Below are 12,011 nucleotides of genomic sequence, written 5' to 3'. Positions count from 1 at the left end.
GCCATTGCTCTATTTTTCATTCAGTTGTCATGTTACCTTGAAAAAAAAAGGTTTCATCTCAGTGTTTATATATTCCTCTGTATTCTCTTTCATCTTGGAAAAGAAAAACCCAGGCTTCAGTAGCAAAGTCTCTTAGTGATGAACCCCATCGTCCTGACTCTGAGTTAAAACAGTTTGGACTTCCAAAAAAGAGCTTTAGATTATCACTAGATAAGTATATAAGGTAATGCATATGTTAACTAGCTTGGTGTAGCTATCCCACAATGTATACATGTATCAAAACATGGACCGGTACAGTGGCTCACGCCTGTAATCCAACATTTTGGGAAGCTGAGGCGGAGCCCAGGAGTCTGAGACCAACCTGGGCAACATAGTGAGACCCCGTCTCTACAAAAAATTTAAAATTTAGCCTGATGTGGTGGTGCATGCCTGTAGTCCCAGCTAGTGGGGAGGCTGAGGCAGGAGGGTTGTTTGAGCCCAGGAAGTTGAGGCTGCAGTGAGCTGTGATCGCACCACTGCACTCCAGCCTGGGCCACAGAGTGAGACCTTGTTTGACAAATAAACATAATAACATGATAAACATAAATAAGTAAAGCATGTTGTACATCATAAATATATACAAATTTTGTCAATTAAAAATTAATAATAATTTAAAAAATAGGCTGGGCACAGTGGCTCAAGCCTGTAATCCCAGCACTTTGGGAGGCCAAGGCAGGAGGATCACCTGAGGTCAGCAGTTCCAGACCAGCCTGGCCATCATGGTGAAACCCCATCTCTACTAAAAATACAAAATTAGCTGGGCATGGTGGCACACACCTGTAATCCCAGCTACTCAGGAGGCTGAGGCAGGATAATCGTTTGAACCCAGGAAGCAGAGGCTGCAGTGAGATTGCACCACTGCATTCCAGCTTGGATGACAGAGTGAGACTCTGTCTCAGAAAAAAAAAAACAAAAAAGATTTGTCACTAGTTTTGGAGGGGTGTGTACACATATCTATGTACACATTTGGTTCTGATCCACAGTTTTCTGGTTCTTGTCTTTAAACAGTGCTGCTTGGTAGCCATACACATGGCTGCATGCATGTTACGGAAATAGGCCCAGCCCAATACAGGTTTGCTTCTGCCTGTGTTTGCTAAGGGAAAGTGAGATGTCTTGTTAGGCCCTGAAAAGCATGAAGTGGCTCCTGAGATCCAGGATGATTTCTCCAACTTGATTCAGAGCCACAAAAAGCAGCTGTTAGGAGTAGATTGCAGATGGGCTCGCCATTGTGTAAATGGCTTTTTTCTCCCATCTCAGGAACATAGGTTCAGCCACCAGTTCCAGAAAAGGACATCTTTCCAGTTCAGGAATTCTAAAACACAATTATGTCACAGAGGCTCAAAAAGAGGCACAGACTGAGCTCAGGAAGAGGAGGAAGAGTAAAAGGATCCGGGCATCTTCTCTGCAGCTCTGGCAGGCTTAAAGAATGATCCATTATCATTTCCCAGCACACAGAACTGTTTCCTTAATTGTCTCTGGTTTCTGTTTCCTCCCTTCTGCTTGCAGTCTTGCCATATTCTGTTTAATCATATTATTTCATTCTATAAATCATTTCTGAGGGAGGCCATTTAGGAGACAAAATGGACTTATTTTTGCCTTCAAGTTTAGTGGCCCGTTGGGATTGAGGATTTGGTGAGCCTTGGCCTGAGATAAGCAGGTGTTGGGATGTGGCTGTAAAGTGAATTTTCAAAACCGTGACAGTACCTTGTAATAAAAAAGAACAAGGGAGAGGGTATGCCCCAGTCACCTTCTGGGATGGCCAAAGCTGCAGGACTTCATTAAAGCAGAACTGCTTCTAACTCAACTGGGGCCTCTGCAGGATTTACTAACCTGAGAAAGTCAAGGTACTCTGGGAGACAGCAGGGAGCAGTGGTTGGAGCAGATAATATGTTCTATTTATTCTTTTAAGGAAAATCAGCAATTCACTCAGTTTGTCATTTTTGTTATTCTGTGTCCTCGGGGGATGGTTCAGAGAAAGGGGATTTGGAAGCTCTACTGCTGGGGATTGGATCCTGATTCCATCCTTCCTAGCCTTGTGACCTTGGGCGAGTACAGCACATCTCTGTGCCCTACTTTCTTCTGTAAAACGCAGAGGACAGTGAAGTGCTTGTCTCATGGGGTCCTTTGAGTGGCAGATGAGTTCACAGATGCAAAGTGCATCAAACAGTACCTGGCAAATACCTAAAAATGTTTAATAAATGTTTGCCACAGCTATTATAGGAGCCCATTTCAGAACCTTCCTCTAAGGTCCTCACTCATTTTCTAAGTTCTAGCCCTCAGAAGTAGTGATCACAGGATTCAGGATTTTTAGAAAATATAGATAGACTTTATTTTTTAAAGCAGTTTTAGGGCCAGGCGCCGTGGCTCATGCCTGTAATCCCAACACTTTGGGAGGCTGAGGTGGGCGGATCACTTGAAGCCAGGAGTTTGAGACCAGTCTGGTCAATTGGCGAAACACCGTCTCTACTAAAAATACAAAAATTAGCTGGGTGTGGTGACGTGTGCCTGTAATCCCAGCTACTTGGGAGGCTGAGGCAGGAGAATCGCTTGAACCTAGGAGGCGGCGGATGCAGTGAACCAAGATCGTACCACTGCACTCCAGCCTGGGCAACAGAGGGAGACTCTGTCTCTAAATAAATAAATAGTTTTAGGTTTATAACAAAATTAAGTGGAAAGTACAGACAGTTCCTATATACACACTCTCCAACACATGCAGGATTTTTTTTTTTTTTTTTTTTACACTAGCAAAATCTCACCACCTGGTGCGAGAAACTTTTCCTTTCGAATATGGTTACCAAAAACGGTTTGAGGACCGAGTTAAGGTTTTTGAGACTAGACCTCATCAGTGTAATCACTGTGAGGGAAATGGAAAGGATGAGGCTAAGAGAATAATAGTAAAAGCTGCAGCCTGGAGGTTCATAAAGTATTCCTGCAGTCATGACATGGTGCAGTCTGAGGGATCCAATATTGTGGCTTTATTGTCACAGCCGGTGCAGTCTGCATGCAGTCTAGGAAGGAGGTTCAGAATGTCCTGTTACCAGGTCGACTGTCTGGCTTCTTATTGGTAATGGAGATGAAGTTTGTTTAGAGGCTTTAAGTCCCAGCATGCAATAGTTCCATGAGGACAAACTATGATGAAATTCAAAAATGTGGTCCTTTTGTTATTAGAAAAGGCTTTCTGGTGGCCAGTGAAAACGATCATGAAAAATAATCTTGTCTGTGATTTGAGCTGCTTTCTTAAGCTATATGTGAGTTGTCTATAGTAAAATCATAAGATGAACACTCCTGGCTTATGTATGTTGTCCTGGCAAAATTTTAATAGTGCCCTCCCTCCCACCAGGTGACTCTCAAATAGTCCCAATTTGGTTGATAAATTTTATGGTAATATTTATACTTACATATATAGGACCCAGTACTAAAAATGCTCATGAAACACACAAACACACATACACGCACGTGCACGCGCGCACACACACAGATGAAAAAGTGTTCTAATCTTATAATCAGATACATACAGAATATCTGACAGGTGACTGGCTAATGATGACTTCTTCTTAGTCACCATGCATTCCTCTTCCTGATGTCATTCTTAATTACAGAAATAAAAATTGAGTTTTTCATACTATTAATTGCAAAACAGTCGATAAAACTTGTGCATTAAATAAGCTCATCATACACCCTTTCCTACATAATTTTATGTTATTGAGCTATTTTAAAACTATTTCCGGAGAAGGCGAGATGCAGTGTAAAAAAATAACAACAACTACAAAAAACCCACAAAAAAACAAAAACAGGCCGGGCACAGTGGCTCACACCTGTAATCCCAGCAGTTTGGGAGGCCCAGGCGGGTGGATCACTTGAGGTCAGGAGCTCGAGACCAGCCTGGCCAACATGGTGAAACTCCGTCTCTACTTAAAATACAAAAATTAGCCCAGCGTGGTGGCAGGCGCCTGTAATTCCAGCTACCTGGGAGGTTGAGGCAGGAGAATCGCTTGAACCTGGTAGGCGGAGGTTGCAGTGAGCCAAGATTGCACTGAGATTACACCATTGCACTGCAGCCTGGGCAACAGAGTGAGACTCCGTCTCAAAAACAATAACAAACAATTTCCATCTTTCCAGAGACCCCTATATTATTTTACCATATATTTAAATTAATTTACAAGACAGTAAACATTTTTTACTGAGCAAGACATCTAATACTAGAAAGACAGAATCATGAAGTCCCATTCATTCCTAGGTGGGGATGGATATAGGACAAATGGGAAATATTGACGAGATAACTCAAAGGACTGAGCAATAAGCACAGAGTGCAATCAGTGTCAGCAATAATTATTCAGAGGAGGCAGCAATTTCTTCTGACTTGGATTCTTGGAGATTTGAATTGGTTTTTGAAGGTCTATGGGCTGAATTTGGTAGGGCAGCATTGGCGGTGAGGGAGCATGGCATTCCAGGTAGGCCTGTGAGTGGATGAACACAAGATAGTTTGTCCATAGCAGAGTCAAATAGGGACCCAGTAGGCGAGAAGATGAAAAAAATGGATGGGGCTGGTGGTGGAGGCCAGATAATGCCTTCATCTTAGTTAATGGCTTCGTCTCAGCCCCTTGGGTATTTGGATATCCTCGCATAGTTGCAGAGCAAACATCCCAAACTCCAGGCATCTGCAAACCACATTGATAATTTTGACCCTATCTCTGTACTCTCTGCTTTATTATTTACTTAATAATGTTATTAAATTGACTCAACTTTTAAAATTAAATACCTTATTCAGCCCCATCCTAAACCAGTGGTTCTCAACTGGGGGCAGTTTCATCCCTCAGGGGACACTTGACAATGTCTGTGGTTGTCACAACTGCAGGGGTGCTGTTGACCTCTAGTGGGTAGGGGCTAGAGATGCTGCTAACCACCCTCCAGTGCCCAGGACAGCCCCACAACAAAGAATTATCCCAAATGTCAATAGTGCTGAGGTTGAGAAACCTTGTGGGCCGAAGCAATAATATATGTGATATTGCAGGCTTAAAGTGTGATTATAGTTATTCTAATTACATTAAAATCATTTCATAAGGATTACATTTTATTATTTTTATTTATTAATTTTTTGAGACAGAGTCTTGCTCTGTTGCCCAGGCTGGAGTACAGTGGCACGACCTTGGCTCACTGCAACCTCCATCTCCTGGGTTCAAGGGATCCTCCCACCTCAGCCTCCCGAGTAGCTGGGATTACACGCGTGCGCCACCACGTCTGTCTAATTTTTGTGTGTGTGTTTTTAGTGGCCAGGCTGGTCTTGAATTCCTGACCTCAAGTGATTCCCCTGCCTCGGCCTCCCAGAGTGCTGGGACTATAGGCTTGAGCCACTGCACCCGGCCAACTATTACATTTTTAAATATGACATTTTAAATTTATGTTTTTAAATGTTCTTCCATGTGCTATTCTATAATCATCTCTTGTATCACCCACAATGCAGACGTGGCATTTAAGTTACATTTGATTTGTATGCCAGGGTTCATAGCAGCATTATTCATAATGGCCAAAAGGGGGAAACAACCCAAATGTCCATTGATGGATGAAGGGATAAATAAAATTGGTAAGTACAAGTAATGGAATACTATTCAGCTTTCACAGGGATGAAATTGGCCGGTGCAGTGGCTCATGCTTGTAATCCCAGCATTTTGGGAGGCAGAGGCAAGAGGATTGCTTGAGCCCAAGAGTTCAAGACCAGCCTGGGCAATACAGTGAGATCCTGTCTCTACAAAAAAGTAAAAAAAAAAAAAAAAAAAAAAAAAATTAGCTGGGCATGGTGGCGTGCTCCTGTAGTCCCATCTACTTGGGAGGCTGAGGTAGGAGGATCATTTGAGCCCAGGAGGTTGAGGTTGCAGTGAACTGTGATTGTGCCACTGTACTCCAGCCAGGGAGACAGAGTGAGACCCTGTCTCAAGAAAAAAAAAAAAAGGAATGAAATTCTGACAATTCTGACACATGCTGCAATATGGATGATACTTGAAGACATTATGTAAAGTGAAATTAGCCAATCACAAGAGGACAAATACTGTATGATTCCACTTACATGAGGTGCCTAGAAGAGTAAAATTTGGGCCAGGTGTGGTGGCTCACGCCTGTAATCTCAACTATTTGGGAGGCTGAGGCAGGAGAATCACTTGAACCTGGGAGTGAGAGGCTGCAATGAGTTGAGATTGGGCCACTGCACTCCAGCCTGGGCGACAGAGTGAGACTCCATCTTAAAAAAAAAAAAAAAAAAGTCTCCTTTTCTCTTTACCTTATCTCTTTGTTAAGCTGTCAGCCTGCTATGGTATCACATACAGCCGTTAGCCTCCACCAACTGCTGGCTGATTGTTCTTTCGTGTTTGATAATGCCCTGGAGGCATGAATTGCTCCTGTCTTGTACATTAAATTTGGGCCCCTTTGCAAGGGTAATCTTTCAGGTCAGTCTTTGAGACTTATTCTAACACCAAGGGGGCTCTTCTTAGCTGATGCTTTCCCTGGTTCTCTCCAGAACACTTCTAGCTGGTCTACAGTTCAGCTTGTTGCTTGAATGGAGTTCCCAGGCTCCTCTTAATTGCTTACCAACAAAATCTTCATTGTTTTTGAGAACACCCTTACACTTGAACTTTCCCACATTGTGTTCTACATAAAGTGTTTTCTTGGGAAGAACTTCAGAGGTCTCTGTATCTACCGCCTTCCTCTCCCCTTGGGCAAAACCTCTGCACCACTGCTCCGGAGCTTGGGGAACTCAGGCAGAGACAGTGGCCCCCTTATCTCAGGATGACAATCCGGCTTTATGAGCAGAGTGCTGGGCAGAGCAGTAGCTTTTGCTCTTCTGCTCTTGCCTTTCCTGTAAAGAATCTCTGCCCCATGAGCAAGCTGAGGCCAGGGTAACACAGGCTCCAGTATTCTCAGCCTGCCATGGCCGAGGTGGAGTTTCTGCCCTATGATTGGGGGCTAGGTTTACGAAGTGAGCCCCAGATTTATCAGCCAGTCTTGTCCAAAGTAGAGCTTTTGCAGCATGAAGCTGGAGGGTATGAGAAATGCTGGCAGCCGCCCTCCCAGCGAGATATAGTAGCCCTCAACTGAGAGCTGGGGAAAGAGGTAGCCCGTGTTCTCGGCTTCACCTACTTAGAGTAACTTTTCCATCATGCTGAGCTAGAAGAAGGAGGGAGGAAGTCTTTTGTGGTACAAATGTTATTGACTCTCACTGTTCTTACTGAGACTTAGTACATTTTCTTGAATAAAAGTTTATTAATTTGCCGCATCCCCATAAAACAATTTCCAAAGGCTTTAAATAGTTGTGGCTTTGATCTTAAGCAATTTCCAGAGATTATGGTCATTTCACTGGGGAGAGGGTTCATGGAGCTCCTCATGCTGCCATTCAGAAGTCATGGAAACCAAAATGTGTCTGAGACAGATCTCTATCCATGTAGAGGTTTATTTTGCCATGTAGAGGTTTATTTTGCCATGTAGAGGTTTATTTTGCCATGTAGAAGTTTGTTTTATTTCTTCTTCTGGGAGAAAGAAACACAAGTAACCATAGTTCTTCTGGGAGAAAGAAACACAAGTTACCATAGGATCTGTGGCCTGTGCTTTTTCCAAAAAGGGTTTTTCAGGACTTTAGAGAGGAAAGGAAAAAAAGAAGGAAGGGTAAGCAATGAGACAGGAGATTACTTTCCTATGCGGCTTTGATTAGCACTCGCTGAATCTACATTTTACATGTGAAAGGGGCGGGTAGAGGAACAGTCAATTATGTTAGTTTTCTTGCTTGGTAAATCTACATTTTACATAAAATATGTAAACACAGAGTAGAGGAAGAAATCTAATATGCATTTGTCTTGGGTGGGCAGAGGAATTATTTCTAGTCTGGTCTTTGTCTCATACCTGTGAAGATAAGATGTTAATCTACATAGTTGGCCAGGCACAGTGACTCATGCCTGTAATCCCAGCACTTTGGGAGGCTGAGGCAGGTGGATCACTTGAGGTCAGGAGTTCGAGATGAGCCTGGGCAACATGGTGAAATGCCCATGTCTATTAAAAGTACAAAAAATTAGCCAGGCTTGGTGGCAGGCACCTGGAGTCCCAGTTATTCAGGAGGCTGAGACAGGAGAATTGCTTGAATCTGGGAGGCAGAGGTTGTAGTGAGCCAAGATCGTGCCACTGCACTCCAGCCTGGATGACAAGACTCTGTCTCACAAGAAAAAAAAAAAGAAAAAAAAAAAGCCTACATTGTCAGGGTGAGATTCAACAGAACTGTGTTTTAGGGGTAGTTCATCAGGAGGATATGTATTCTGAAAGATTTGGGACCCACAAAAAATTTCCTTGTAAGCAATTGTGAGGAAGGCCACCTGGGGAGATAGATGGCCTTCCGTTATCACATACTCATTCCTAACTAAGTACCCAGAGAAAAACATGGACAATAACGTTCATAATAGCGCCATTTGTAATAGCTTAAGGTTGTAAACAGTCCAAATATCCAAATGCAACGATCTGTTTAGGAGCAAAAGGAAGGCAGTTTTTGTGTGACTCAGTTTCCAAGCTTAATTTTTCCCTTTGACATAGTGAGTTTGGGGTCCCAAGGCTTTATTTTCTTTTCACAGTTATATGCCCTATCATGATGATTTATTATGAAGCCATATTTTAGTCCAATTAATCTGGAGGCAATGTTCAGAGAAAATTAGAAATAGGAGAGGTTGGAGCCAGGTAGAAGAGATAACAGGTTATTGCATTAGTTTCAATGTAAGTTGTTAAGGGCCTGAACTAGACAGTGGAAGTAAAAAGAAAAGAATAACAGTGATGTGAGCATAGATTCTTCAGGACTTCCCCACAGATTAAATATGGGGTGCAAGAAAGAGAGAAGGGTCAGAGATGATCCCAAGGTGGTTCTAATATGGGAGAGAAAGGTAAATTTACTTTAGATCTGTTGAGATTTTGGTGACACATATATTCAAGGGAAAGGGAAAATATGACATCATTACTAGAAAGGGAGCATTGGTAAGCAGGGGAGAGGCTGAGTTTTGTAGACAAGGGGATTTGGAGTCATAGTTTCTAGGTAACACGTTGCAAAAGCTGTCCACAGTACAAGATAATGGAAGTCATAGGCATAGACAAGTTTCAGAGAGAAAGAAAAGCAGACCAGGTTAACTTGAACTTGGGAGAATGAAACTTGGCAGGAGGAGAAAAACAGTGAAGGAGCTTGAGAAGTTACCACCACAAAGGGAGGAAGGGTTGACAGCTAACATTTATAAAACCCTTACTAAGAGACAAGCACGATTCTAAGAGTTTTAGATTTTTTTAAATATTTAATCCTCCCAATAACTCCACAGGGTGAATATGATTATGCCTGTTTTACAGATTAAGAAACTGAGGCCAGAGAGGTAAAATAATGTGCTTGAGGTCACAAAAGTGATATTAAGTAAACCCAAAATTAAAACCTTGGCAACATGAGCATGCATAATTCTCATTCTTAAGTATGTACCCAAAGAAACACACGGACAATAACATTCACAATAGCACCATTCGTAATAGCTTAAGATTGTAAACTGTCCAAATGTCCATCAACACTAGAATGGATAAACAGATTGTAGAACATTCATATTCAATGGAATACTATGCAGCATTGGGAATGAACAAATCATTACGATAAGCATGCCACCAGCATAAAGGTGAGTGAAAGAAGCCAGTCATCCAAGAAATGTATGCTATGATTTTATTTATATAAAGTTCAAAAAGAGGTAACACATGGCTGTGGTGTGAAAAAGTCACCTGACCTTTGTGAGGTGGTAGAGACTGGGAAAGGGCCTGAGAGGGGGTTCTTGGGTGCCAGTGATGCCCTGTTCCTGAGCTGGGTGGTGGTTACACAGGTGTGTTCACTTATGAAAATTCATCAAGCTGCTCACTTATGATTCATGTACTTTTCTGTGTGTAGGTAACAAACAAAAAGTACTAAAAAACAAGAAAGCAAAATAGAACCAGGGCATCTGATTTGAGGACCTACCCCCTTAACCACAGAGTGATCCAGAGAACAAGGGTCTTTTCTCCTCTTCCACAAAGAAAAATGTGGAAGGGGACCTTATAAAATTATAAATTTAAAAGAAATTGAAGAGATAGATCAACCAAATGGAATGTATGGGTCTTATTAGCATCCAAATGAAAACAAACCGTAGCTGGGTATTATGGATCATGCCTGTAATCCTAGCACTTTGGAAGGCTGGGGCAAGTGGATCACTTGAGCCCAGGAGTTTGAGACTGGCCTGGGCAACATGGTGAGACCTCATCTCTACAAAAATACAAAAAAGTAGCTGGACATGGTGGCATGCACCTGTAGTCCCAGCTACTTGGGAGGCTGAGGTGGGAAGATCACCTGAGCCCAGGAGGTAGAGGCTGCAATGGGTCATGATCGCACCACTGCACTCCAGCCTGGGTAACAGAGCAAGATCCTGTCTCAAAAAGAAACGAAACAAAACAAAACAAAAATTAAACTGTAAAAGACAATAACAAAACAATTGGGGAATGAATATTAATTATATTATGATTATGTTTTATAAAAAGTCCTTCTATTTCAGAGATACATATTGACATACTGATGGATGAAAGAATGTCTGGCATTTGCTCCACAAGAATGAGGATACGAGTGTTGAGATGAAAGATTGGCCATGGATTGATCATTGCTGAAGGTGGATGATATCTACCTGGACTTCACTGTACTTTGTCTATTTGTTTGAGTATTTTGTGAAATAAGAAGTTTTTGCAAAAGAGAAGAAGAAAACTAACGTTCAGTGTGTTCGCAAAGGAACTGATTCCCTTGGCTCCATATTTTTAAATTTGGATCTCCTTTGAGAGAGAAAGAGAGCAAGCACATGGGTCACAGGACTAAAGGAGAAAGGGGACGTGTGGGTGGAGCATGAGCTTGCGATGCCTGCTCCTGTGGTTTTCTCTCTTCCTCTACTCCTCCACTGGAACAGTTCTGGCAAAGGCCACTGTGACCCCCACTCACTGCTGCATCCAGCAGTTGGCTTTCAGTTCTTCTTTACTTGACATCTTGGTAGCTTGGGACTCTGGTGGCCAGGCCCCCTGCTTGGGAAGCACCTCTGGTTTTCCTTTGTCCATTTCACAGCCTGCCCCATGGACTCTTCTTCCTGTGCCTGATTCTTCAGTCCTGGGCCTGTCCTCAGCCTGCTGCTCTTCTTCCCCATACCCTCTTCCCTGGTGGTTCTGTCCTCTCCCAGCGCTTGAGTTGCTGCCAGGGCTGTCTTTCTAAACAGCAGTTCTCACCAACTGATTCCCTTGTGAAGACCCAGGAATAGCTTCCCATTGCCCAAATGATAACATTCAAACTCTTCCTGGAGGTACAGGAGGCCCTTCAGCATCTTTTTTCGCCTCCACTTCCTTTCTACCTTCCCTCTCTAGCCTTCCCTCCTTCTCCTCCCCTTCACACCCTCCGAGTCAGCCAGTGACATTATCAACACTTCTGGAATGCACCAGGCCGTTCCTTGCTCCCATACCTTTGACTCGATCTGGACTACTCACCCACACACTTCCCTACCTGGAAAACTCTACTCACCCTTTGAGACTCTGCTGCAAGCTCACTCCATCCATAAAGGCTTTCCTCATCTTCCTGTGGAGTTCATTCATCCATTCAATCATCCATTCCTAATAGATGTAGATGCAAAGACCTATGATAAGGCTGAGTGCTGGGGGCCAGAACCCACATCATTCACACTTTACCTCACAGTTCCTATCTCAGGTATTGCCTTACTTACATGATAGCTGCTCCCAAGCCCTACCCCTTGAGGCCAAGGAGGGTGACTTATTCCTCTTTGTACCCAAGTGATAGTAGGCACTAAAACACGCTTGTTCAATTGAATTGAAAGAGAAGAATTACCGAGAAAAGGCCTCTGGGTTTGGCCATTCAAACACTTTTGATAAACTTTGGGTGTCTCTGTACTAAAGTTTAGGGTTGGGGGTGAAGG

The 12,011-nt window shown here is 43.0% G+C and overlaps 1 protein-coding gene and 1 long non-coding RNA gene across 6 annotated transcripts in view; both read right to left on the bottom strand.

The window, feature by feature from the left end:
* ABHD2 (abhydrolase domain containing 2, acylglycerol lipase) overlaps positions 1-12,011 on the bottom strand; it is a 161,358-nt gene that overhangs the window by 115,369 nt on the left and 33,978 nt on the right. Inside the window, exon 3 of one of the 2 annotated variants that reach the window (NM_001416423.1) lies at positions 11,603-11,691. The exons of the other annotated variant lie outside the window; for it this stretch is intronic. The gene's annotated coding sequence lies outside the window, so the exon portion shown is untranslated. The remainder of the gene's footprint in view (positions 1-11,602; positions 11,692-12,011) is intronic. 2 annotated transcript variants of the gene reach the window in all.
* Positions 2,758-12,011, bottom strand: part of CARMAL (coronary artery disease region linked MFGE8 regulatory lncRNA) — a 43,232-nt gene continuing 33,978 nt past the window's right edge. For 2 of the 4 annotated variants that reach the window (NR_183883.1, NR_183880.1), the window contains one exon: positions 7,271-11,691. This is a non-coding gene — a long non-coding RNA (coronary artery disease region linked MFGE8 regulatory lncRNA). Of the gene's footprint in view, positions 4,497-7,270; positions 11,692-12,011 lie in introns of those variants that run through there. The other 2 variants (NR_183882.1, NR_183881.1) reach the window with 2 other exon arrangements.

This window comes from Homo sapiens, chromosome 15, assembly GCF_000001405.40.
Source record: "Homo sapiens chromosome 15, GRCh38.p14 Primary Assembly".
Taxonomy (NCBI): Eukaryota; Metazoa; Chordata; class Mammalia; order Primates; family Hominidae; genus Homo; species Homo sapiens.
The sequence above is the reverse complement of the archived record's forward strand: the minus strand, read 5'-3'. Positions and strand labels throughout refer to the sequence as shown.